This window comes from Homo sapiens, chromosome 17 (assembly GCF_000001405.40).
Source record: "Homo sapiens chromosome 17, GRCh38.p14 Primary Assembly".
NCBI classification, from domain to species: domain Eukaryota; kingdom Metazoa; phylum Chordata; class Mammalia; order Primates; family Hominidae; genus Homo; species Homo sapiens.
In genome coordinates this window covers 38,595,490-38,620,461 of record NC_000017.11, presented here as the reverse complement: position 1 = coordinate 38,620,461, position 24,972 = coordinate 38,595,490, and the positions used below count along the sequence as shown (strand labels likewise).

General features: G+C 55.4%; 1 protein-coding gene across 8 annotated transcripts in view, besides 5 other annotated features; it reads left to right on the top strand.

Annotated features, from left to right (window-relative positions):
* Positions 337 to 847: an enhancer, noted in NCBI's record as "H3K4me1 hESC enhancer chr17:36775868-36776378 (GRCh37/hg19 assembly coordinates)". NCBI's record gives its function as "activates a minimal SCP1, AML or CMV promoter by ChIP-STARR-seq in primed H9 embryonic stem cells {active_cell/tissue: H9 hESC(primed)}" and the evidence as "EXISTENCE:reporter gene assay evidence [ECO:0000049][PMID:30033119]".
* Positions 10,634 to 11,304: an enhancer, noted in NCBI's record as "OCT4-NANOG-H3K27ac-H3K4me1 hESC enhancer chr17:36765411-36766081 (GRCh37/hg19 assembly coordinates)". NCBI's record gives its function as "activates a minimal SCP1, AML or CMV promoter by ChIP-STARR-seq in primed H9 embryonic stem cells {active_cell/tissue: H9 hESC(primed)}" and the evidence as "EXISTENCE:reporter gene assay evidence [ECO:0000049][PMID:30033119]".
* Positions 12,448 to 13,048: an enhancer, noted in NCBI's record as "H3K4me1 hESC enhancer chr17:36763667-36764267 (GRCh37/hg19 assembly coordinates)". NCBI's record gives its function as "activates a minimal SCP1, AML or CMV promoter by ChIP-STARR-seq in naive H9 embryonic stem cells {active_cell/tissue: H9 hESC(naive)}" and the evidence as "EXISTENCE:reporter gene assay evidence [ECO:0000049][PMID:30033119]".
* Positions 13,049 to 13,650: an enhancer, noted in NCBI's record as "H3K4me1 hESC enhancer chr17:36763065-36763666 (GRCh37/hg19 assembly coordinates)". NCBI's record gives its function as "activates a minimal SCP1, AML or CMV promoter by ChIP-STARR-seq in naive H9 embryonic stem cells {active_cell/tissue: H9 hESC(naive)}" and the evidence as "EXISTENCE:reporter gene assay evidence [ECO:0000049][PMID:30033119]".
* SRCIN1 (SRC kinase signaling inhibitor 1) overlaps positions 13,437 to 24,972 on the top strand; it is a 76,995-nt gene continuing 65,459 nt past the window's right edge. For 5 of the 8 annotated variants that reach the window (XM_017025172.2, XM_017025171.2, XM_017025170.2 and 2 more), the window contains exon 1: positions 15,744 to 15,983. In XM_017025172.2, the coding sequence (XP_016880661.1) occupies positions 15,860 to 15,983 (124 nt within the window). In that variant the 5' untranslated portion in view covers positions 15,744 to 15,859. Of the gene's footprint in view, positions 13,702 to 14,509; positions 14,779 to 15,743; positions 15,984 to 24,972 lie in introns of those variants that run through there. The other 3 variants (XM_017025169.2, XM_047436852.1, NM_025248.3) reach the window with 2 other exon arrangements.
* Positions 19,952 to 20,246: a silencer, noted in NCBI's record as "tiled region #8854; K562 Repressive non-DNase unmatched - State 7:EnhWF". NCBI's record gives its function as "represses a minimal TATA promoter and a strong SV40 promoter by Sharpr-MPRA in K562 cells {active_cell/tissue: K562}" and the evidence as "EXISTENCE:reporter gene assay evidence [ECO:0000049][PMID:27701403]".

Sequence of the window (24,972 nt, the reverse complement as noted above, 5' to 3'; positions counted from 1 at the left end):
TTCACTTTTCTGAGCCTCAGTTTTATCAACTCTAAAATGGGGTTTTATACTCGCAGATGGAACTAAATAAAATAATATCCTAAGTGCTTAAGAATTACCCCAACTATGATTATTTTATGTTCCTAGAGCTAGACCTTGATTTCCTTGTCTTTCTGTGAGGAGCTCCTTGATTTTGGCCAGAAGTGCAGCCCAACCCTTGGAAGTAAGGAGTTGGAGCCCGACGCTCAGGGCAGCATCAGGGCCTCAAAGGTGTCCCCTGAACACCAGCCCTTACAGCCTCCGACAGGATGCTTGCGTCGGATTCAGGGCTGGGCCTGGACGGGGGCTGGGCAGCTGTGAGTCTGCAACAGGACAAGGAGCAGAGCTGTGGGTCCTGGAAGGGAGGGAACAGAAGGCAAAGCGTGCACCCGTCTGCCTGACCCAGATGTGGCCAAAAACAGAGCAGGGTTGGGAAGGGCTTTGCTGGTCTCACAGGGGTTGGAACAGGGCTGCTCACCACAGAGGCTGGCAGTGATAGTAATACATAGCGGCTACACAGTGGGGAGCTTCTTCCGCCTTCTTCCCAATTTCTAGATCCACACGTAGAGCACACCAGAGAGACTTGCTCAAGCTCCCACAGCCAGAAGGTGGGACTCAGTGGGAGCATTTATGGGGCACATTCCCTGTGCCTCTGGCCCATTCTCCTCTCAATCCTCATCTTAATATCCACTTTGGAAGAGCAGATTATTTCTGTTTCTGGTTGTGCCCCAACCACTGAAAGATGATCTTGCTCCTAGTAGTTGCTCAATAAATATTTGTTGAGTGTTGAGTGCATACCAGTCACTGTGCTGAGTGACTTGTACCTGTGCACTCTCACTAACCCTCCCAGGCCCATTTTACAGATGAAGAAACTGGGAAACACAGAGGCTGAGCGCTCTCAAACATGCCAGATGCCCCCTCCCGACCAAATAAACTGCCAGAGACACAGGGCTGAAAGGCAGAGTGGGTAGGTGTGAGAAGGGATCTGGCTCTGAATTCTGCCTACGTCACAAATTAACTTGTGTCGTCGGGCAAGTCACTTGATGCTTCTGAACCTGTTTCTTTTTGTTTTGTTTTGTTTTAGAGACAGAGTCTCACTCTGTCACCCAGGCTGGGCAGTGGCACGATATCGGCTCACTGCAACGTCCACCTCTGGGTTCAGGTGATTCTCCTGCCTCAGCCTCCTAAGTAGCTGGGATTACAGGCACCACCACACCCAGCTAATTTTTGTATTTTTAGGAGATATGGGGTCTCACTATGTTGGCCAGACTGGTCTTGAACTCCTGGTCTCAAGTGATCTGCCCACCTTGGCCTCTCAAAATGCTGGGGTTACAGGTATGAGCCATTGCTCGGCCTCAGTTTCTTTATCTGAGTGTAGTTAGGGTTGTGGGGTTGCCATGGGGCCCTGGAGCCCTGGATCTGGGTAGAGACAGTGAGAGGGGGTAAAGGTTGGGGCCCTTCTTTGGAAGGGAGTCGTGGCTCTGTTCTGGGAGGTGGTAAGAGATGAAGGGGATAGGGCCAGGCACGGTGGCTCACACCTGTAATCCCAGCACTTTGGGAGGCTGAGGCGGGTGGATCACAAGGTCAGGAGATCGAGACCATCCTGGCCAACATGGTGAAACCCTGTCTCCACTAAAGATACAAAAAATTAGCCGGGCATGGAGGCGGGCGCCTGTAGTCCCAGCTACTCGGGAGGCTGAGGCAGGAAAATGGCGTGAACCTGGGAGGCGGAGCTTGCCGTGCGCCGAGATTGTGCCACTGCACTCCAGCCTGGGCAACAGAGCAAGACTCCGTCTCAAAAACAAACAAACAAACAAAAAAGAGATGAAGGGAATGTACTGGGCTCTGGAGACACATGGATCCAAATTCTTATGCCACTTACAAACTGTGGGACTTTGGGGATGGGACCCGAACTTCCTGAGCTTCTGTTTCCACATCAATAGAAAGGAGGGAAGCATGTGCACCACTTGGCCTTGTTGTAAGGTTAAATAAGGCCATGCTGCCAAGTGCCTATAGCAGGTGGTGCTTAGTAAACAAAAGCATGTGGGTGTCCCCTGGGCCAGCCTTTCCAGGTGAATCCCCTGAAATGCATCCCTGACCTGACCTTGGTCCCCTTGAGCTAGTAAGCCTCTATCATCTCTATCTCTCTCTCTCTCTCTCTCTTTTTTTTTTTTTAAGACAGGGTCTTGCTCTGTTGCTCAGGCTAGAGTGCAGTGGTATGATCATGGTTCACTGCAGCCTTGGCCTCTTGGGCTCAAGTGATACCCCCACCTCAGCCTCCCGAGTAGCTGAGACCACCATGCCTGGCTAATTCTTGCATTTTATTTTGTAGAGATGGGATTTTGCTATGTTGTCCAGGCTGTTCTCAAATTCCTGGGCTCAAGTCATCTGCCCGCCTTGGCCTCCCAGAGTGCTGGGATCACAGGCGTGAGCCACCTCACCTGGCTGTCACTAATACTTTTACAAGGAATTTATTTCTTACATTGGCCTCTCTCCCCAGTCAGGAGAGGTTACCCTGCTAGTGGACTGGAGAAGGATGTGGTCAGGGTGTCTGGTGTCCAGAAGGGACACTCACTCAACCTCTGCATCCCTGCCCCTCCCAAGTTGACTCCTTCCTGCCCATAGCTACATGTTCTTCCTGAATCACATCACTTAAAAGCCTCCGTGGGCACCTGCAGGGCCCACCTGAAGCTCCTTAGCTGGGCATCCACCATTCACAGCTCCTCCAACGCTAGCCTGCCACCTCCCAGCCTCTCCTGCTGCCACTCCCTGGGCAGCCCTCTACCCCCAAGCCATACCAGCTCCCGCACGCTGGCCCCGGCGCGCTGGCCCCAGCTTTCTCAACATTCTCCCTTGGCCAGAGACACCCTCCTCCTCTTTTCCACTCAGCAAAACCCTGCTTTGCTTTCAAGGCCCAACTCAGATGTCAGCCACCTCTGTCATAAAGCTTTTCCAGATCCCTTTCCCTGAGGACTGATTGCTCCTTCCTCAGTGCCCCACCCACAGGCTGGGAGGGCACACTGTCGCAGGGCAGTGGAATGGTGTCTGTAGGTCCCAGCTGTTCTGCTCCCGCTGCTCTGGGAAGAGGACAGACACAGCTGGTCTCCTGTCCCGCCCTACCCTGACTGCTGGATGCCTGGCCCTTCAGAGTCCCCTGTGTACGTCCCCAGCCCCCATCTGGGCTCTGAGCCCCAGAGGTAGCAGGTGTATTCCTCATCCGGCAGGAAGCCTCTGGCTCCACCCCGGTAGGCTGTGTGCGAAGCTATAGTACAGATGGGGTTGTTGAAAATATCCGTGACATATTCCAAACTGGCCTACTTTCCTATCACGAGAGTCTGAGACGGAGACGGGCGAGGACAAGTGAGATGGAAGTTTGGGACCTGTTCCCACCTCCTTCCTCCCTCAGTTCAGTTGTTAGGAGAGGGATTTGCAGCCTCTCCCCGCGGTCCCTGCCCTGTTCTGGGGCTGTGTGGCTGGGGTGTTGGTGGAGAGGGTGGCATGGGGGTGTGGGGGTGCAGAAGGCCTAAGGAAGTTCACAGAGCCACCAAGAAAGGAGGCCTGGGTCCTATCTGGGAAGCTTCTGGCCCCAAGAGGCAGGGCAGTGGGGGTCATCTCACTGGACTGAAGAACTGAGGGTCTGGGCTCAAGTCCTGGCTCACCTGTGAGGCCTCAAACAAGTTTCTTAACTTCTCTGGGCTTCAGTTTTCTCATCAGGAAAACAGGTTATTCGTAATCCTGGCTTGCCTCCTTGAAGCCTTGATTATGGGGTTGCTTTGAAGACTCTAAAGCTCTGGACCCTGCCTTAATAATCCGTTTCTCAGCCTCTCCCTGTCGGCGAGGCTCTGCCCTTGCATGGCAGCTTAAGTGGTCACCTGCTCCGGTCCTCTGCCTCCCAGCAGGCCTGGCTGGGCCTCCACCCTTAATCCTGGTTGAATGATCTCTGAATAGGAAGTCACCCAGCATCCTCCCCCTGGTGCCAGGCCTTCATCATCCCTCCTGCACTGCCAGGAGGTTCACACTCAGAGCTAATTTCAGTCTCTCTTGCTGACATGAAACCCCTAGAGTGTTCCCTGGCTTGTCTCCTCCTTCACACACACGGTGATCATTATTTTAGTTTCTCCCTTTTCAGATGAAACATGCCCTCCTTCCCTCTCTTTCTCAAGGTGGGCAGAATTCTTGAGGCATTTTTCTAACTCTGATGAAGCTGAACTGCTTCTTCTTCCTTCTTCTTCTTCTTCTTTTTTTTTTTTTTTTTTTTTTTTTTTTGAGACAAGGTCGCACTCTATTGCCCAGGCTGGAGTGCAGTGGTGTAATCATGGCTCACTGCAGTGTCCACCTCCTGGGCTCAAGTGACCCTACTGTCTCAGCCCCTTGAATAGCTGGGACTACGGGTGTGCACCATCACACCTGGCTAATTCGCATAAATAGAAAAATGTGGCCAAATCGAGGAAGATTGGTTGCTATGGATCCACTAATCAGGGCAAAACTAGAAATAATGATTCATTTGAAACACTTATGGGCTTGGCGCAGTGGCTCAGGTCTGTAATCCCAGCACTTTGGAAGGCCAAAGCGGTTGGATCACCTGAGATCAGGAGTTTGAGACCAGCCTGGCCAATGTGGTGAAACCATCTCTACTAAAAATACAAAAATTAGCTGGGTGTAGTGGTGGGCACCTGTCATCCCAGTTACTCAGGAAGCTGAGGCAGGAGAATCACTTGAACCTGGGAGGTGGAGGTCGCAGTGAGCCAAGATTGGGACATTGCACTCCAGCCTGGGCGACAGAGCAACACTGTCTCAAAAAATAAAATAAAATAAAAAATAAGCAAAATGTATTATTTTACTTTCTTTTTTCTTTCCTTTTTTTCTTGATAGTCTCAGTCTGTCGTCTAGGCTAGAGTGCAGTGGCATGATCTCGGCTCACTGCAACCTCTGCCTCCCAGGCTCAAGTGATCCTCCCACCTCAGCCTCCTGGGTAGCTGGGACTACAGGCATGTGCCACCATGCCCAACTAATTTTTTGTATTTTTAATAGAGACAGCGTTGGCCGGGTGCAGTCGCTCACATCTGTAATCCCAGCACTTTGGGAGGCCCAGGTGGGTGGATCACGAGGTCAGGAGTTCAAGACCAGCCTGACCAACATGGTGAAACCCCGTCTCTACTAAAAATACAAAAATTAGCCGGGCGTGGTGGCACATGCCTGTAATCCCAGCTACTCAGGAGGTTGAGGCAGGAGAATCGCTCGAAACCGGGAGGCAGAGGTTGCAGTGAGCTGAGATTGTGCTACTGCACTCCAGCCTGGGTGACAGAGCAAGACTCTGTCTCAAAAAAAAAAGAGAGAGACAGGGTTTTGCCACGTTGCCCAGGCTGATCTGGAACTCCTGGGCTCAAGCATCTGCCTGCCTCGGCCTCCCAAAGTGCTGGGATTACAGGCATGAGCCACCACGCCCTGCCAGTATTTTTTTACAGTGTTTTTTTTTTCGTTTTGTTTTTGTTTTTTGAGACGGAGTCTCGCTCTGTTGCCAGGCTGGAGTGCAGTGGCGCAATCTCGGCTCAATGCTTAATGCAACCTCTGCCTCTCAGGTTCAAGCGATTCCCCTGCCTCAACCTCCTAAGTAGCTGGGACTACAGGTACGCGCCACCACGCCCAACTAATTTTTGTATTTTTAATGGAGATGGGGTTTCACCATGTTGGCCAGGATGGTCTGGATCTCTTGATTTCATGATCTGCCTACCTCAGCCTCCCAAAGTGTTGGGATTACAGGTGTGAGCCACCGCACCCAGCCTTTTTTTACAGTTCTTAACATGTCAAGATGTCACTAATTTTTGGTCCCAGTCATATACCAGCAGTTATTGCTGAGAGGGTCGGATCTCCCAGGTGATGAGGTGAAGTCAGGAGTGGGGCAGGGAGTGGGATGGAGTCCTTGCTGAGGGGAGCTCAGAGGGGCCAGCACAGAAGATGGGTGGACACAAAGGAGCAACCACAGGAGAGGCCAGGGGAGTGGGGTACAAATCAGGATAGCAATGCCCAGAATCCATGCAGCGAGGTGCTGGACATCCCAGAGCGGGAGAGGCCAGGAGGCACCGGCAGAGAGGACCACAGCTCTGCCTTGGCTAGGAAGAGACAGACGGCCACAAAGAAAGCTACATGGGTGTTAGGAAAGCCCAGGGGAGTGCAAAGTTCAGCTAGAATATGTTTGTGTGTTTGCTTATGTGTGTAAGGAAGGAAGGGGGTGGAATTTGGAAAGGCTTTACTGAGGAAATGGAATTTGAGCTGGGCTTTGAGGCCAGAATCAGGTGTCAACAGGTGCAGAGGAAGGAAAGGACAACCCCATGGGGGAGGGGAACAGTATAGGCAAAGACATGGAGTGTGAAGGGAAGATTGTGTGTGTGTGTGTGTGGGTGTGTGTGTGTTGTGGGAGGTAGCCAGAAATAAGGCTGGAAAGATTAGAGGATGGGGTCGTGGAGGGCCTGGAATGCCAGCCTGAATTTATTGAGTAGGTCAGCAGTGAAAGGGTCCTTAGGGTAGTGTTTCTCAAACTCTGTAATGAAGGACTACCCCCGCCTTTTAAAAAAATTTCCAATTGATTGCATACCCATATTTTTGTAAAATACAGTAAAAGTGGTCATGTGCCTAGATGTACAGGCAATCGCTATAAAGGTTTCTCAGTGCTTACTCTCCATTTCTGTATTCTTGTGAACCAGTGGCTGGCACTGGTCTATGGACCACACTTTGAGTAGCTCTGCCTTAGAGGTCCTTGGATGGGCTGCAGAGGTCAAAGAGGCCCACTCATTTCTTGTACATGGGCACATTTATTTATTTACAGAGAATGCAAAATTCTTGTTAGGACCTCAAAGGGTTCAGGTTCCTATAATCCCTTGGTGTGAGAATGGGGAGCCATGGAAGATCTTTGAGCAGAAGGGGCTATAGGAAGCTTTGGAGCAGGGAGGAGCAGTGAACAGCCTGATTCACCCTGGAACTCCTCCCCACTCTGCTGCACCCTGAGCAGGCAGCCCAGGGCCTGGCATGTGGGGAGAGTGCTGTGGGGAATGTGAGATTCCAGAGAGCAGGAGGTTCACTTAAGGGGTGATGAAAACAATCTGTGGTAGGCCTGTACTCCCAGCACTTTGGGAGGTCGAAGTGGGCAGATCACTTGAGGTCAGGAGTTCAAGACCAGCCTGGCCAACGTGGTGAAACCCCATCTCTACTAAAAATACAAAAATTAGCCGGGCGTGGTGGCACGTGCCTGTAATCCCAGTTACTCAGGAGGCTGAGGCAGGAGAATCACTTGAACTCGGGAGGCAGAGGTTGCAGTGAGCCAAGATCGCATCACTGCACTTACTAAAAAAAAAAAAAAAATTGTGGTAAAGAAAACTAGAGGGCTTTGAAGGCTATGTTCGGAGCAAAGGATCAGAGAGGGGTGGACCTGCCACTGGGGCAGATGGCACGATGTTAGCTGAAGATGCGAAGCACAGATCAACTGTCTGCCACCTGCTTGGGAGGCAGGAACCTGAAAGGGAGGCCCCCATGGAGTGAGGGCTAGGCAGAGGAAGAGGCTTCGGGGAGCAGCCTGGGGCCAGAAAACATCTCAAGGTCCTACGAGCATCCTCTGAGAGTCCTCAGAGCAGTGCCCAGTGTTCCAGCACACCGGGAAAGGCTGTGACTCATGTGGGCACAAGCTCTTTTGTTCCAAAGAAGATAAGCTGAACTTTTCAGATGGTTCTACTCATTGAATTCCCTGGCAGACTCCTACTTTCATTATTACTTTGTTTTCTGAGGCGAGATTTGCATAGTATATTAATAAAACTAACCATTATAAAGTGAACAACTCAGTGGCATTTAGTGCTTTCATAATACTGTGCAACCATCAACTCTATATAGTTCCAGCACGTTTTCATCATCCCAAATGGAAACCTCATACCCATTAACAGTTGCTCCCTGTTCTCCCGTCTCTCCAGGCAAATCTCTGTGGATTTACCTATTCTGAATATTTCATATAAATGGAATCACACAATATATGACTTTTAATGACTGGCTTCTTTCACTTAACATGATATTTTGGTGGGGACTGGGGATTTTTTTGTAAAGATAGGGGCTTGCTACATTGCCCAGGCTGGCCTCGAACGCCTGGCCTCAAGGAATTATCCTGCCTTGGCCTCTCATAGCACTGGGATTACAGGCCTGAGCCACGGTGCCCAGCCAGCATGATGTTTTTGAGGTTCATCCATGTTGAAGCATGTATTAGTACTTCATTCCTTTTTATGGATGAATAGTATTCCATTGTATGGATATACCACAATTTGTGTATCCATTCATCCACTGAAGGACATTTGGGCTGTTGGATCATAGGGTCATTCTATGTTTAAAGAACTGCCAAACTGCTTTCCATAGCTGCTGAACCATTTCACATTCCCATCAGCAATGCACGAGAGTTCTTCCTACTTTCATCATTAACTAGGGGATTGCTATAACCTTGGAAGGCAAGGAGATGGTTACTAGGTGCTAGCAGGGGTAAAACGGATCAGGATAGTACCGGCTCCATGCCCTGCACCTTCTACCACAGTCTTCTAAGGCTGGTTGGCAGGCCTGGGAAGGCAGCTAGCTGGAGGTGGAAGGAGTCTTCCATTTTTTTCCCCAAGACATGTGAATCAGATGGTGAAATCTAGAGCCTTAAAGTCAAGCTGGGTGTGGCCCTGCAGGAGTTGGGCTTGTGGTCTACCTGGGCCTCAGTGGCTCATAATATGTCCTGTTAAGGACAGATACAGACTGTACCTTCCTTCTCCTCCTCCCTGCCCTGGCCTCATCTTTCTTGTCTTTTCCCTTTCCCTGTCAAAGGCCTTCTTTCACTCTTTCCATCTCTCCATACATCCCTCCCTCTCTTCTTCTCTCTTTCCTCCCCTCCCTCCCTCCTGCTTCCCCTCTTCTTCCCTTTTCTTCTGTTTTTCTCCACCTCTCATCTTCTCTTCATCCCAATTCTGTTTGCCCCCTCCCCTCACCCTCCATCTCTTCACTCCAGCTCCAGTCTCCTGTCTCCCTCCTCCCCCAACTAGAGCACTAAGGTTGCAGTTCACTCACCCACCCACCCGGGCAATTCTTTTTTGTTTGTTTGTTTTTTGAGAAAAAGTCTTGCTCTGTCACCCAGGCTGGAGTGCAGTGGTGTGATCTCGGCTCACTGTAACCTCCGCCTCCTGAGTTCAAGTGATTCTCGTGCCTCAGCCTCCCGAGTAGCTAGGCTTACAGGCGCGTGCCACCACGCCCGGCTAATATTTGTATTTTTAGTAGAGATGGCGTTTCTCCATGTTGACCAGGCTGGTCTCAACTCCTGACCTCAGGTGATCCACCTGCCTTGGCCTCCCAAAGTGCTGGGATTACAGCGTGAGCCACCTCGCCTAGCATGAGCCACCTCGCCCGGCCCCACCCCGACAATTCCTTTTTTTTTTTTTTTTTGAGATGGAGTTTCACTTTTGTTGCCCAAGCTGGAGTGCAATGGCGCGATCTCAGCTCACTGCAACCTCTGCCTCCCAGGTTCAAGTGATTCTCCTGCCTCAGCCTCCCAAGTAGTTGGGATTACAGGCACCTGACACCATGCCCAACTAATTTTTTGTATTTTTAGTAGAAACAGGGTTTCACCATATTAGCCGGTCTGGTCTCGAACTTCTGACCTCAGGTGATCCGCCTGCCTGGGCTTCCCAAAGTGCTGGGATTACAGGGGTGAGCACCGCATCCGGCCCCATCCCGACAATTCTTATGCCTAAGGGACCAAGTGGGAAGGGAGGAGGTGGGGAGCTGCAGGCATGCTTATGGACTGTAGCCACAAGCCCCTCTCCCCACTTAGGCCCTGGGAGGTCACCCAGAGTGAGGTGGGTGCTAGGAACCCTCTCCCTTGCGGTTATTCTCCCCTCCTACAGAGAAAGGAGATCCACTGGCATCAGCAGCACCGAGCATGGACCTGGCACACAGCAGGGGATCAGGGATCCAGTTCCGGTCTCCAGTTTGGGCAACAAAAGTGAAACTCCATCTCAAAAAAAAAAAAAGAATTGTCAGGGTGGGGCCGGGCACGGTGGCTCACGCCTATAATCCCAGCACTTTGGGATGCTGAGGCGGGTGGATCACCTGAGGTCAGGAGTTCGAGACCAGCCTGGCCAACATGGTGAAACCCGGTCTCTACTAAAAATACAAAAATTAGCTGGGCATTGTGGTGGGTGCCTATAATCCCAGCTACTCGGGAGACTGAGGCAGGAGAATCGCTTCAGCCCGGGAGGCAGAGGTTGCAGTGAGCCGAGATCGAGCCACTGAACTCCAGCCTGGGTGACAGAGTGAGATTCTATCTCAAAAAAAAAGAGAAAAGAAAAGAAAAAAGAAATGCGAATTCTCAGGCCCCTCCTCAAATCTGTTGAATCTGAGACCTTGAGGGGAGGGGAGCAATCGCTGGTTTAACATGCCCTCCAGGCAACTGGGCTTTTCCAATTACTTTCAGAGCCACTGCCCTACCACAGGGGGAGCCCTGGCTTAATGAGGGGGGCAAGGTGCCTGACTCAAGGAGCTCCCAGTCTGATGGGACAGATGGAACCCTTGCCATCTGACAGGGAAGACAGCCTTGTGCTCAGGAAATTCCCACTGGGAGGGGAACACCTCGGCTTTTCACTCCAAGCCCCTACGCTGGTCCCTCCCTGCCAGAAGCAACGGGATAAGGTTCTCTGGAGGAGGCTGGCTACGGCTCCGACCCCAGAGAACCTGCCTCCACTTTCTGTCTCCATTCTTCAGAAAGCGGGTTTGATGTGCTAATGAGGGCATCAGTTAGGGAGCATCATTAGCATTCATTACAATAACAAGCAGGGAAGCGGGGAGGGTCTTTAGAAATTTACTGCCACTCACTCCTCTCCTATGGAGTGGGAGGAGGAGCAGGAGGGTGAGGAATGTGAGAAGGGAGGCTTAGGGGCTCTGGGAGACCAGGCTGTGTTCAGAAAGCCCCAGAAGCAGGCCTGGGGCAGCGGGAAGCACCCTCCTCCTCCTTGGCTCCTCCCCCACCCCTCTTGTGCCCCAGGTGCTAGGTCACTGCCCCTGGTTACTTGACCCAGAATAGGACCAGGTCCCCAGGCCCTCACTGTCTGCAGGCCACCCTTAGTGGAATGTGGATGGTTCCTTGGGGTCTCATGAAATGCCTGGCCAGACAACAGCCCCATGGACCGGGGGCTTTCTCAAGGATACTGGGCTGGGGGTGCTCCAAAGCAGCAGAGTGACCAGTTTGGGGTGTCCCAGCCATTATTTCCACGTCACCTTTTCCCTGTGCCTTCTCCTAGAGGCCCAGATGCCCTTCTCTGCCCACCCCAAGGCCCATCTCCCTTTGCCTGCCCAGATGTTTGTCCAGATGCAACCCCTGTTCCTATTGCATCTTGGGGAAGGAGAGGCAGGGCTGAGAATTCTCTCCTCTAGGGTGCACCCCCATAACCTCTCTCTCGCAAGCTCCCAGGAACAGGTGAGGGCTGGGTGGGATGTTTGGGGAGGCAAGGTGAGTGGTTAGGATCTGCTGTTCCAAGCCCCAAACATGCCAGCTGCCCCCTCCCCACCAAATACACTGCCAGAGGCACAGGAGAGGAGGACCAGAGGGAAGTTACCTGTTGAGGAATGAGAGCGGGGGCGGGGCGGCACCTGAGGCATCTCAGGTGGAGGCAGCTGGCAAATTGGTTGTGCCTGGGCACCATGCCAGCTTACAGGAGCAATTCTCATCTCTCAGCTGAAGTAATACCTGTGTTGCTTTTGCCCTGATCAGTGGAGATGGTGTCCCCAGCCTTCTCTCTCCACCAGGAACCCCTCCTTTTGAGACCTGGTGGGAGGAGGGAAAGGCACGTATTTTTCTTGGGGTCAATGAGGGGCGATGATGCCAGGCCATCTGTCCTCTGGCTCCACTTTCAGCCTTGGGACCTTGGGTTCTATTCAGGGAGCTGTATCCCTTCTCACCCCTCCAGGAGACCCATGGAGTCAGCTGGGCAGGGTGGGTGTGGACAAAGCATCTTTGGGGAAGAGAGGGCAGAAGGGTCTCAAATGAGCTGATAGCTATGAAGATGATCAGAAATGCTAAGGATTCATCATTAAAAGGTGAGCTATACAAATTAAAAATATTACATAAATCTGATTTAAGCTCCTCACTATGGAGGTGGCCTTCATGATGAGCGAGCTCACCTTAGGGCGGGTAAAAATGGATGCTTCGTTCTGCTGACACCTTTGGAACTGTTCCAATCCCTGGGGGCTGCATCACAGAACCTTTCCCACCCCACCCCAAGCCACTGGGGTTGGGCAGGCAAATCTCCACATGATGGCACAAGCATCTTTTCAATTGTCAACTAGAGGTAATGCCTCAGGTCACTCTCTCCACAATAGGACCAGATCCCTGTCTCCTTCCTGATTATGGCATGGCTATACATCTTAACTCTCAGCCACATTCCTGATCTCAGTTCTCTTCTAACGACTATATGGTTATGAGACTTTGTGTCCCAGGGGTTGTCCCTGCTGTGGCGACCCACAGGGTTATGAGATGATGGTGATAGAAGAAAGGCAGGGAGCTTTGACATAAGGCAGATGTGGGTTTGAATTTCAACTTTGCTGCTCTTACATTGGGCAATTGGCTATATCTCTCTGATAGGGGGTTGAAAATGCTCACTTCCATCAGGCTGTCGAAAGGGTAAAATTAGAGATTATGGTAGAGCACCTGCTAATTTTCTTCCCCTTAGGCACAAAGTGGGGGAGGGAAGAAATCTTGTCCCTTGGGGGGAATCTGAGTTGGGGGCAGGTGAAGGGCAGGAGTCCTGTGCAGTCAGTGGGTGAGGAATCTGAACGGAGGAGCGACCTGTGCCAGAGCTCTGGGCTCCCAGCCGCTTGGGAGGTGGTGTCCGTGTGCTGAGGGGAAGCTACCCTTGCCTCCCCTGAGCCTCCCCCACACAGAGCCTGCTGCCTCCCATGCCCATCCTGGGCAGGCAGCCAGGCAGGGCACTGGATGGATGCCCACTGTGCGCTCAGAGGCCAAAAGATGGGCACCATCCAGTTGGCAGAGGGAGAGGCAGTTGGCCCAGGAGGGAAGAAGTCAGGGTGCCTGCCGCTGGGGTCGTGTGCCCAGACTGTGTGTCCAGGACACAGCTCTTGGCTGTCCTCCTGATCTGTCCCACTGGAGCTGGGAAGGGCCTCTCCTCTGGTCCTGGCCCTGGCATCTGAGTTACTGCAATTGGTTATTTATCTCTAAGGGGAATCTGGGACCTTGTCCCTAGCTGGGCATGTGGTTGGCTCAGGGGCAGGCCTGGGGGTGGATAGGAAATTGGGAGAGCCCAGATTAAGGTTGCAACTGGGTAGACCAGGAAGTGGGGAAACCGGTTTGTCATTTGGGCCACTTGGGGTGGGGTCTCCTCTCCTGGGCTCTCTGCCTGCCTGCCACTCTGCCTGATGGCCCACAGTGAATAGAAGTACTGTGTCCACTCTCTTGCTCACCTAAACTGCTTTTGGAAACTCCAGAAGTAAATAAAAGGGACAGGGGACTCAGCCCACCTTCTCCTCCGCAAGAAAGCTTGAGAGAGAAGGGACTGGCCAGAGCATCGGAGCGAGGGAGGGAGGGGGCCGCTGGAATCACGAGGTGTCGGCGCGGGCCTGGGTCTGGGTCTGGGTCCGGGTCAGCGCTGGAGAAGTCTGCGGAGCCAACAGGTAGGCCAACGAAGGTGGGACGCGGAGGGGCGGGGGACGGCAGGGTGGAGCCGAGCTAGTGCTCTGCGGGCTGAAGTAGAGGCGGCAGTGACGCCGCCAAGCGAGGCGTGAGCAGGGACCGTCGCTGGAGCGTCCTACGGTGGGGTCTCACTGGCCGGAGGGGCGCGGACCTGCCTGCAGTTCCCGCGCACGCCTGCAGGAGGGGCTGCAACCCGGAGCGGGGGCGAGGCGGCGGCCCAGCAGGGGGCGCCGGGGAGCCCAGACCCTCCGACCGAGCCGCGTCTAGGCGCGCTGGGGTGAGGGGTCGCGAGGCAGAAGCAGAGGAGGATCCGGGCGCTCCCAGCATGGGGCGGCTGTTGGTTTCCGCGGTCACCTTGGCTGAAGGGAGCCCCCAGTCTCGCCGCCCCGCCTCCCCACCCAGCCCCGAGAGCCTTTCCATCCCTAGGCGCGCCCGGGCTTGGAGACCCAGGAGTCCTCCACCCTCCAAGTGTCCCCGCTTCCCCGGGTGCCTCCTCCGAGCCGGTCCTCGGTCAATGTATTTGTCTCTATCGTGGCGCGAAGACTACTTGGGGTGGGACGAAGCAGGTGGCGCGGGAAGGAGAGAGTGAGCGCGCCCCGCGCCCGGCCCCGGCCGCGCGCTGCGGGATCACGCGGTGAAGCTGGAGGGCGCGAGAAGGCGCAGTGCCCCCTCCCCTCCCCCGCCCCCGCCGCCCCGGGCGGCCCTTTGTAAGTTCCGGCCACACGCGCGCGCCCGCGCCGCGCGCGCGCCCGCCCGCAGTGACACACCCGCGCCGGCCCGCGCGCGCGCAGACACACACTCAAACACACACACACTCGCTCTCGCACACTCGGTGACACGCCCGCGCGCGCGCTCACCCACACGCCCGGCCGCCGGCGCCCTCCCAGCTGGTCCACCCCGGCGGGGCCCGCGCCCCCGGCCCGCCCGCCTGGCACCGCGCCCCGGGGCTGGGGCCGAGCGAGGAGCCCGCGAGGCGGCGAGAGGGCGAGCGCCAGGCAGGCCGGCCCGGGGCCCCCGCCCCCCGCGCCCCCGCCCGATGGGGAACGCTCCGTCCCAAGGCATGTCCCTGTCTCTCTCCTCCCTAATGTGCCTCCATGCTTAAGTGGAAGGTATTTCTGTTTTCTTTGTGTGTTTTCCCCCTCGGCCGGGGGCGGGGGCGGCGGCCGGGCCGGGGAGGCGGTGGCCGGCGGGGCGAGGGATGCTGGGGCGCAGGTGTGTGGGGGCAGGGGACCGCTGTGCGCCGGGCTTGGGAGAAGGACCCGGGCGAGAGGAGTGCTGGGACCAGAGAAGGGGGCAGGGTGGCGAGGCAGGAGACTGGGTGGGGAGGGCCTCACTACGCCCCGGGGTGGGGGCCAGAGGGGTTCAACTGTAAAGGGGCTTGTGTGGAAGGGGGAGGGGTGAGGAGAAGAAGGGGGATGGATGGTGAGGAGGGTGGGGGGAGAAGGGCGTCCCTCCGAGGTGGGGGAAGTGGAGGATGCAGGGGAGGGGAAGGGGATGGAGAAGTGAGGGGTGCATCAAAGGCCTCCCTCCCCCAGCTCCCAGAATGGGGTGCACGGGCTAGGATGGTGGTGGTGGGCCCTTTGCGCCAGCCTCCAGGGAGGGAAGGGGATGAGTGCGTTCTGGGGTTGGCCGCGTTGCCAGGATACAAGCCTGTATTCCACACACCCCCCCTCCCCGCACCTCGAGGCCCTAGCCCTGGAGACCTCTGAGCCTCAGCAGCAGTTGCAGAAACTGGGGACCAGCTCCCCGCTCTACCAGCGGGTAGGGAGGGCCACGAGAGGGAGGGGTTTAGGGAGGGGCTATTTGATCTTAACCCCTCCCCCTGCAGAGGCCAGGGGGCAGGGGAGGGCGCCCCCAGCTGGGGAGGGCATCTAGGGTGAGTGAGAAGATAGGGAAGGCAGGCGGCTGAGGGGTGGAGGGTGGGGCTGGGAAGGGGACGCACCGTGGCCCCCCCTCCCCTCCCACGCACCCCCCTGCTACGTCAGAAGCTCCCGGGCCAGCTCCGAGTCCTGTCGGTGGGGGCAGCAGGATGCTGGTGGAAGCAGAGGGGACAGGCCGGGTGCCTCCGCAGCTCAGCTGTCAGGGCCCGGCGGGGCGTGTGCGGCTGCTGGTGCTCGTCCCCCAGCCCCACGCGTCCCCATGCAGCCCTGGCAGTGCCTCCGGCGCTTTGCCCTGGCCTGGTGGGAGAGGACGGCGGAGGGCAGAGCCCGCTCTCCCAGGGAGGAGGCTGGACCGAGGGACCCTGGGGGCCGAGGGGAGCCAGGTGAGCAGGCGCGGGGAAGTATGCAAGGAGGGGGATCTTCCCAGCCCCCCTCCTCAAATGTTGTGGGACAAGGAGGTCCTGCAGCACCCCAACTTTAAGGAAAGTGGGCTCCCCGAGCTGGGGGTGGGGGTTTCTGGCAGCAGCCTTTCAAAAGGAGATGGAGGAGCTGCTGTCTGTTTTGGGGAAGGGAGAAACAGGTGAGGCTTGGGAGTGAGGGAAGCTGACCAGACTTCCAGGTTTGTGGGCCTGAATGTTCCTTTGGGTGGGGTTTGAGCACTTTTGGGGGGTCGTCAGGATACCTTCTTCCCGACTCTTGGTATCTTGGTCTGGGTGACCTTGAGCCAACTGCTTTGCTGTCTAATTCCTTGCCTCAGTTTCTCTTATTCCCATCCCTTTCCCTCTTGTTGATCTTTAAAAATTGATGATGCATTTGATGGAGATTGTGAGGCTGTCGCCACTGGTGGCAGCTGTGATGGTGGTGGTTTCTGGTGTGGTTGTATGTGGGGAGCAGCTATGGTGCATTTGAGGGGTTTTGCTGGTTCTGGTTGGTGATGGGCCACTCCATACAGGTGTCAGGGACATGGGAAGGAACATTCACACAGGAAGGAGTGCTCCAGGCAAGCTGAGAGTTGCTGGGGACAGAGACTTAGCTGGTGGCCTGGGGTAGAAGCAAGGGATGGGGTGAGGGCTCTGGGCATAAGGGGAGGGTTTCCAAGAATAAGATGCACCCCCCCTCCACCCCGCTGTCCCCACCCAGACTGCCTGGCACCCAGGCACCACTGGCAGCAAGTGCAAAGGCTTTGCCCTGGCTTCCTGCCACCCTGCCTTGGGGACAAGAGGGTCTTTGTCCAGTCCCCCCACAACAATTCCTGCTTCTTCTGCCCTTTCCACGATGGCTGGTTCTCTGTGATGACCCTCAAGGCTGGGATGGAGGCACAAATCCCCCTTCTGGCTCCCACTGTCTGTGCCCTGGAGCTCTATCTGGAAGAGGCAACTGTGGTCCTCGGGGAGTGCTGAGTGGAGAGGGATGCTCCACTAGGGGAAGGGTCGCTCGAATGAACCCCTCAAAGAGCTACCCCCACCCCAGGCTTTCCCCTGCCCCTCTACTTGCCTCCTTGCCTAATGCGGAGGGTCTGGGGTCTTCGTGGCCTCATCCCTGCTGGGTTCCAGGCGTCTTAAAGATGTGCAGGATACTGGGTTGGGCACTGGGATGCAGGGCCTCTCTGATGCACTCTCGCGCTCTCTCTCTCTCTTTCTCTCTCTCTCCCCCTCTCCCCCCTCCCTTCCCTGTCTCTCTCCCTCTTCCCTCTCTCTCGCCAGGGACCCACCCTGGAAAAAGGGTTTAATTAGAACCATTGATTCCTTCTTTGGCTGTGGGCATCGACAGTGTGGTCAGAGCTAGAGGGTGGGGGTGGCATGGCTGCCATCTGCCTATGCCAACCTTGGAATTCTCTGCCAAAACCCCAGCCCTGGAAGTGCTTAGGAGGGAGGCGGCTGGGCTCTTTGAAGTACCCAGTTTGTTGAGCCCCCACCCCCACCCCAGGTTAGGTTTTGGGGAAAGAAGGGAGACAGTGTTGAGGATTTGAACTGAGGGAGCTGAGTTTGGGGCTCAAGGAAGAACAGTTCATGGCGTCTGTCATCCTGGGTAGCAGGCCTGGGGCACATGAAGAGGCAGCTGTGGTGGGGGGTGCTCTTGCAAAGGGGCCTGTGGGTGCTGGGCAGGCAGGGAGTTCAGGGGAAGGATCCAGGGCTTGCCATAAAAGCTGCTCTTTCGAGGAATCTCAAGCATTTATCTCCTCCAAGCCCTGGCAAGGAAATCTGTTTTCTTTCTTCATTTATGTCCTTGAGGCCCAGAGAGGGACACAGACTGCCTCAGAGGCCCAGCAGACTTAGGTCTAGCTTTAAGCCTGGTTTCCTGACCTAGGGACCCCTGCTTGGGCACAAGCTGCTGAGGGTGAGTCTCCTGGTAGCTGAGGCTCTGGACTCTAGGATTTGTGGGGGGTGGGGGACAGGTTGTGCCCCCCAAGTCCTGGCTGCCTGCTGTGGGTGGGCTGGTGCAGGTGCAGGCTTCAATGAGGCACTCAGATGCTCTTTGAAGAATCCCTCACTGGCTTCCTAGGGCCCATTCGAGCAAAGATAATAAAAATCTGGCCGTCAGCGGGTTTGAGGGCTGTACTCGCTTCCCCTTCTTTCATTCCAAGCTCTGAGTAGCGGAGATGAAGGCTTCGGATTTGGCTGGGAAGCAGTGCCTGCCCCGAGGGAGGAAGGGAGGGAGGCAGTGAAGGAGGGAGGACTGAGTTCCTGGCAGCCAGGGGAGTTTCTGGGGGAGGTGGGCAGAGGGGCAGGGGCATGGTCCCCAACTCCTGCCAAGCAGCCTAGAACCTCGGGGTCAGGGTTCCTCTACCCGATACCTGGGCTCCAGAGCACTCCCCTGGATGCCCTCAGTCTTCGCCCCTCCCCCATCTCTCCTCTGTGCCTTTCCGTCTTCCCATTCCTCCCCTCCCGCTCCCTGTTCGTCAATTTCTCCTGCGCTGCCCTTCCTGCTGTCTCTCTCTCTAACCCTGTCCTCGTCTCTTCTTCTGCCTCCCCCTTCCTCCCTCTGACCACCCCTCCCATTGTCTGCCTCCCCTTCCTTTCCCCAGCTCTGGCCCTGCTTTCGAGGACTGTCTGGAAGGTTGAGAAGCCAAGCTGGGGGCGGGGAAGTGGCCTCAGAAGGGATGGGCCTGGGTTAACTATTATGGTCTGTCAGGTGCCATAATTGTCAGAGTCCAGGAAGGGCTGCAGAGCACTTAGCGATGTGTGTGTGTGTGTGTGTGCGCGCGAGCGTGTGTGTGTGTGTGCGTGTGTGTGTATGTGTTGAGGGCGCCATCCCCCTCCCCACACCACAGCAGGCACCTTGCCCTGACATTGGGCTCTTCCTCCCCTGCCTCAAACACCCCAGGTTCCCTGCTCTTCTGCCCTGCCCCTCATATTTCTCTTTGCCTACCTCCAGCCTCCCGCCCCTCCAACCGCGCGGCCCCCCAGGTGCTATGCTGCCCTTGCACTGCCCCTCACACCCACCAGACCATCTCCAGGTGCAGAGGCGGTAAGGGAGGCATCCAAGAAGCCTCTCAGCTCCATCTCCCACCCATGTCTCTGATGGGCCTGCCTGGAGCCCCATCCACGCCCTGGGGCCCCTTTGCAATGTTATAAACCCCCCAGCAGAAAGACAAGACCCTGGTGGAAAAAGCACTGCACTAAGTCAAGAGAGCTCATTCTTATCCTTCCTCAGTGCCCAGATGTCTGCGTGACCTTGAGCAAGTCCCATCCCAGCGCGGGCCTCTTTCCTCACCTGTGAAATGAGGGGGCGTGGGCTGGCTGATCTCCAAGGTTTCTTGTGACATTCCAGCGGTGTTGTGTCTCTCTTCTGGGTGATTTGCATATGCTTTGCATATATTAATGGTGCCTGCTTGAAGGGGGAGGGTGCCGCCCACACCCGGCCCAGAGTCCCACCCACCATTCCAACTCCCCTTGCCCATTGGCCCATGCTTTTGCTGCTCCGATTTCCCAGAGGGGTGAAAGCTGGGCTTGAGCATTCCCTGGGGAGGTGAGTCTGGCCCCTGTGTTCCAGCCATGCTGGGGGCAGGGTTGGGGGGATGGCTGTAGTCGAGGGGACCCCTGCCCTCAGCACTTCTGCTCCAAAAGGTCAAAACAGAGAAGCCAAGTGGTGGGTGAATTCACCAAAGTTGCCTGTGGCTAGCTAGGATGGGGTGTGCAGAACCCCACGGAGGCCTGATACTGCAGCCGGCAGAGGGGCTTGAGGCTGTGCACCCTCCAGGGCCTGCTAGCCCTCTGCCGGGAGCTTAGCCAGGTGTCAGAGCTCCTCCTCCGGCTTCACCTCCCAGGCTCAACCCATGGCAAGTCCTGCCCTTGTGCCCCTGCCTGCTTTTGCCCATTCCCCTGGGCTCTGGGGATGTGTGTGCTGAAACCTGGGCCTCAGAGATGGTCAGTGAGAAGGACTAGGTCATTCATTGCCTCTCTGGGCCCTCTTAGCTACCACACAGAAGATGGGGCCCAGGCCCCCTGCAGGGGTCATGGACATTATGAGGGAGGAGAGCCTGCCACCCTAGTCCTGCCCGTACCTCCAACAGCCCTGCCTGACCTTTTGGGGACCTCCCCCAGAGCCTCTTCGCATGCCTTGGTCGCTTTTACCTACATATCTACCCCGTCCTGGGGCAGGGCTGGGTAAAGGTTGATAGCCTGGAAAAAGATCATGTAGGCCACTGAGTCATGAGAAGAGTCTCTGAAGACAGGAACAAAAATGCCACCAAGGAGGACTGGGCCAGAGGAAATGCAGCAAGAGAGATCAAGGTTAGACTTAGTCTTAAGGAAGGATGGTCCCAGGGGACAGATTCGTTTCTGATCCTGGAATTGTGAAGATTAAATGAAACAACAGATGAAAACATCCCGCACAGTGCCGGACATATACTAAACAATCAACTTATTGTTGGGATAATAAACAATCAATTATGAGGGGATAGGGGACAGACATCTCTGAACCCAGAGAAGATAATAATCCTTAGAGAAGTCTAAGCCTGAGACTTAGTTAGGATTTTGCAGAGGATGAGGACTTGGAGGGGCGATTCCTAGAAGAGCTGTTTCCCCCATACCCAGGCTGCTGTTCCCTCATCCCACCCTTCGGGCCCCACGCATGCACTGGGCTTGGGCCCAGCCACCCAGGGACACCCTGCCCTCATCCTGTCTGCTGGGGGTGGGCAAACATAAGGGTGTGGAGGCTGGAAACCTGCTTTTCTCCCCCTGCCTCCATCTCTGCATAGGACAGCTTGAGAGGAAGCAGGCCCACGCTGTAGTAGGAGGAATCGAGGTTAGATAGGAAGATAAACCTCCCAGCGTGTGGCCACTTCAGGATGGGAGGCTCCAGTGGTATTTTTGCATCTTTCACCTCAATGACGGTGGTCTGTGAGCACCCGTAGACTAGTGTTGGACCTAGCGGCAGGGGACTGGTCAGCGTGACCTTTCAGATGAACTTTGGGCATCCTGAAGAGTTTGGCTGGTGTGGTTGCCAGAGTGCAGGGGACCCTGCTGGGGAGGGATCCAGTGCTCCGGGAGAGGGAGAAGAGGAGGAGAAAGAGAGAAGCTGCTCCTCTGCTCCTTAGGGCAAAGAAGTAAATTGTAAAGAACAAGCATTGGGCTGGAGTCAGCTTGCCTGTCTCCCCTACTGCTGTGTGACCTTGGCAATTTAGTTGCCCCCTCTGGTCTTCAGTGTCCTTGGTATAAGAAAAGAGGGTGGGACTAGAGGACCTTCAAGCTCCCTTCCAGAGCTCCCAGGCTCTCTCTACCTCCTCTCCCTTGAGATAATATTGCTTTGCCACATGGAGGGTGGGAAGACTGTTTCCCAGCTTAAGCTAAGAAAAAAAAAATGGGGATTTGGCCCAAGAGAATATTGGAATACACACACACGTACGTACACACACACATACACACACACACTCATGCCTTACAGACAGCCCCCTCCTGTTCCGAAGGCACACCTTGCCTACATCTGCCCTCCCAGCCCAGGGGATGGAGAAGGGAGTGGCTAGAGGATTCAGCTGTCCTCTGAATTCTAAACTCACTGTTTTCCTCCCACCCCAGCAGAACTGGCTTTGCCACACTCCATTCCATCCGGGGACTATAATCCAATTCGGGTTTTCTCCCACAAGGCACTTCAAGCTGGTGGCTCAGCTCCCCCACAGCCTTATCCTGGCTCCTGGTAGCCCAGGCCACCTGCCTCGGTTGCCTGCATGTCCTGATGTGGAGTAACCCAAGACTGGAAGGGAGTTGGGTTTTCTCATGCCTGCCTTCCTCACCTGTGCAAACACACGCATTCCAGGGCACTGGCTTCTTTTCCATTCCAGCTGGCAAAGCATGCTGGAGACCCCAGACCCAGGGGCCCATAGAGGGGCCCCCAGACTCAGCTTATAGAGAGACCCCAGACCCAGAGACCCCACAGAAAGAGCCTAGCTGTTTCTGCTTGTGCAGAGCTGGGGAGATTGCGGGGGGGACGTGTTCTGCAGTCTCCCCTCACCCCTAGGATGCATGATAATTGCATACGCAGCAGACATCACTCCAGACACCAGCCTCTGCTTCTTATGGGAAGAATGAATGACCCCAGCTCGTAGGGAAGGCCTTCCATGGTTCCTTGAAGCCCTTGGGATGGGCCTTGCTGTCTTCTCTCCTGGGCTGTCTGCTGCCTATTCCACCCCACCCAGTGACCAGGCTGGCCTGATGAGTCCCCCATTCTTGTCCCCAGCCCCCTTATCCATGGAAAGTTAGGACTCTGTGCAGAGGCAAGGGCTGTGGGGACTGCCGCAGACTCTCACTTTGTCCACCCCAGAACTTCTGGGCTCTCCTCTACCTGGGCACTATGGGAACTTCTGGTTGGTAAAACGTGAAGGGGCTTGTGCGGGGCTTCCTGGAGCTTCCTCTCTCCTGGAAGTGGGAGGGGCAGGAAGGGGCTATTAGAGAGGCAGAAGTCACCTAAAGATAAAGCTCAGGAAAACCTAGACCCACCTCTCTCCTTAACCTGATGGCTCACCCCCTCCTGGTCCACTGGCAGCCTGGGGTTAGAACAGTCTGCCTCCCACTCTTAGGACGAGGCAGAGCCGAAGAGAAATCTTCTCTTCTACCTTATTGCCCATAGGAGATAATTTCTTTAGGCAGAACTTCCCAGAGGCCACCAAAAGGAAGATAGCCAAAGACTGAGAGAGGGGTGGGAGTGGATAGGAGACAGTTTAGCTCCTGGGTCAAGAGCTTAGGGTCTACAGTCAGACAGCTCTGGGCTGCAATCGCAGCCCTGACAGTCATTTGCTGTGTGGTTTGGGGCAAGTTGCTTCACCTTTCTGAAGCTCAGTTTCTGTCTCTGTAGATCAAGAGCATTAACACTGGCTTCCTCACAGAGTGGGTAGTAGGATTATATGAGGTAATTTAGGCAGAGTTCCTGGCACATAGTAGACATTCAATAAATAGTCATATCTTTATCTTCCTCCTCTTCCTCTGTCTGACTGAATGATTGAATGGGGCCCACTCTCCACTGAGAAAAGGGCATACATAAGAAACCTCTTTAGATTTTTTGAAAACCCAGATCCTCACCTCAGCCTGTCTGGGGCTGGGCCCCTGGAGCTGCCACTTAGGGCTGGTGGTAAGAAGGAAGCTGGAGCTCCTAAGCCTTCACTTTTGTGCCTCCCACTGCCTCATCCAGGAAGTTCTCTGGGGCTAGACACATCAATGAGCATTCTTAATATTTTCTCCCAGTCCGTGTCCCAACAGCTGTTTCTCCCTGGGATGTCGATGTTTTAGGTAATCGGTGGGAAAATTGGAACCATGAGATTGGCAGGGGGCTCTGAGAATGCTTGTAGCCAGACGTGTTGTGGGTATGGATGGGTCTGAGCCAGCCCAGGGAGGGCTGTGCCTGAGTGGGTGCTGGCCACAGTGTCTCCCGGCAGGAAGGGTCTTAACTGCTGCATGCCCCAGGGTAAAAGGCTAATAGGTATTGCAGCATGAGGGAGGTGGAGTAGGTTTAGAAAGGACTTCTAACCTTTCTAAAGGGTGGGGCATGGTGGACAGCTGTAGGGGACCCTGCCATGGCAGGTTGAGGGTTGGGGGTGTGGAGGCAGTAGCTAGGTGAAGGACTTCAGGCAGGTCTGTGCTCCTAGCACAGTGTGAACCTATGAGTGCCTTTTGGGTGGGGAATGCCTGTCTCCTCTAACACAGGCAGGGGAAGCTGGGCATTCTCAGGGTTAGTGGGGAGTGGAGCAGATGGGGGTCTCGTAGGCTGGGGAGAGGGTTGTCACCAGGGGAATGATGGCAAGCCTCTCTGACCCTGAACCCATCAACCTTCCAGAATGGCATAACCTGGCATGAAGGAGGCAGGCGGGCTATCATTTGGGGTCTAGGTTGGGCACCTCAGTAAAGTGTCTGCCCCTGTTTCTGGGTGGAGAACCAGGCATGGCTTGTTGGCTGTCTGTCCTGGGAACCCAGTTCTGGGGACCCCATGTTTTCTGTGTTGTCCTGCTGTTTGTCCCCCTGTCTGTCTCCCACCAGTGTCTCTACCCCCTCAGTCCCTGCTCTTCCTATGACACCCAATCTCTATCCTGTCTGCCCTGGGGGGCCCCAAAGGGAGAGCTCCTAAGGCTCTGCCTTGCTCTGTACCTGCTTCACCTCCCCCAACCCCATGGCCCATGGCCCTGCCCCTGACCTAGCCCACTTTGGGAGCCCCTGCCCCGGCCCCCTCCTCTCTCCAGCTCCTCTGCAGCCGGGCCTTTCTGGGCATTCATTCACGACTTTCCTCCTTTCCTGTCCCTCACCCAGGGCTCCAGCGTGCGGCGGGAGGGAAGCCTCCAGGACTCTGTTCCCTCTGTTTAAAGTCTCCAGGTTAGTAAGCCAGGAGGAGGGAGGCCCCCCACGATTCCTCCTCCTGCCAGCTCTCCAGCTCTCCGTAGTCAGATGCTCCTCCCCAGCCTGGAGGGCCAGAAACGGAGAGGGGGCTATCCCTGGTGGGCCCAGCCTTTGCCAGGGGAGGGGGCAGCAGATACCTGACTCTGGGGGGGGCACTTTGGCTGGTAGAGAACATGTCTGTATGTGCACGTGTGTGCATGTCAGTGAGTGTGCGTGTACAAGCACGCGTGCATGTACATGTGTGTGCAGGCTGCAAAGCCGCCATGTAAGCTAGGGCTGGGGTGAAGAGAAGAGGCGGGAATCCTCTGCTGAGGGGGCTTGTGGCCTGGGGAGAGGGGTCAGGAGCAAGGGGCACCTCTTATGGGGGGAAGCCCATGTTCCAGTGATGCCCAGAGGGTGGGGGATGGGAGAAGATGGGACCATTTTGTTTAGCTTACAGTCACATGCAAACTTGTGATCTCGTTTCATTTATTCAATTGTTTGCTTGTTTATCTATTCATCCATTTATTCAATAAAGACTTATTGAAGGCCAGGCGCGGTGGCTCACGCCTGT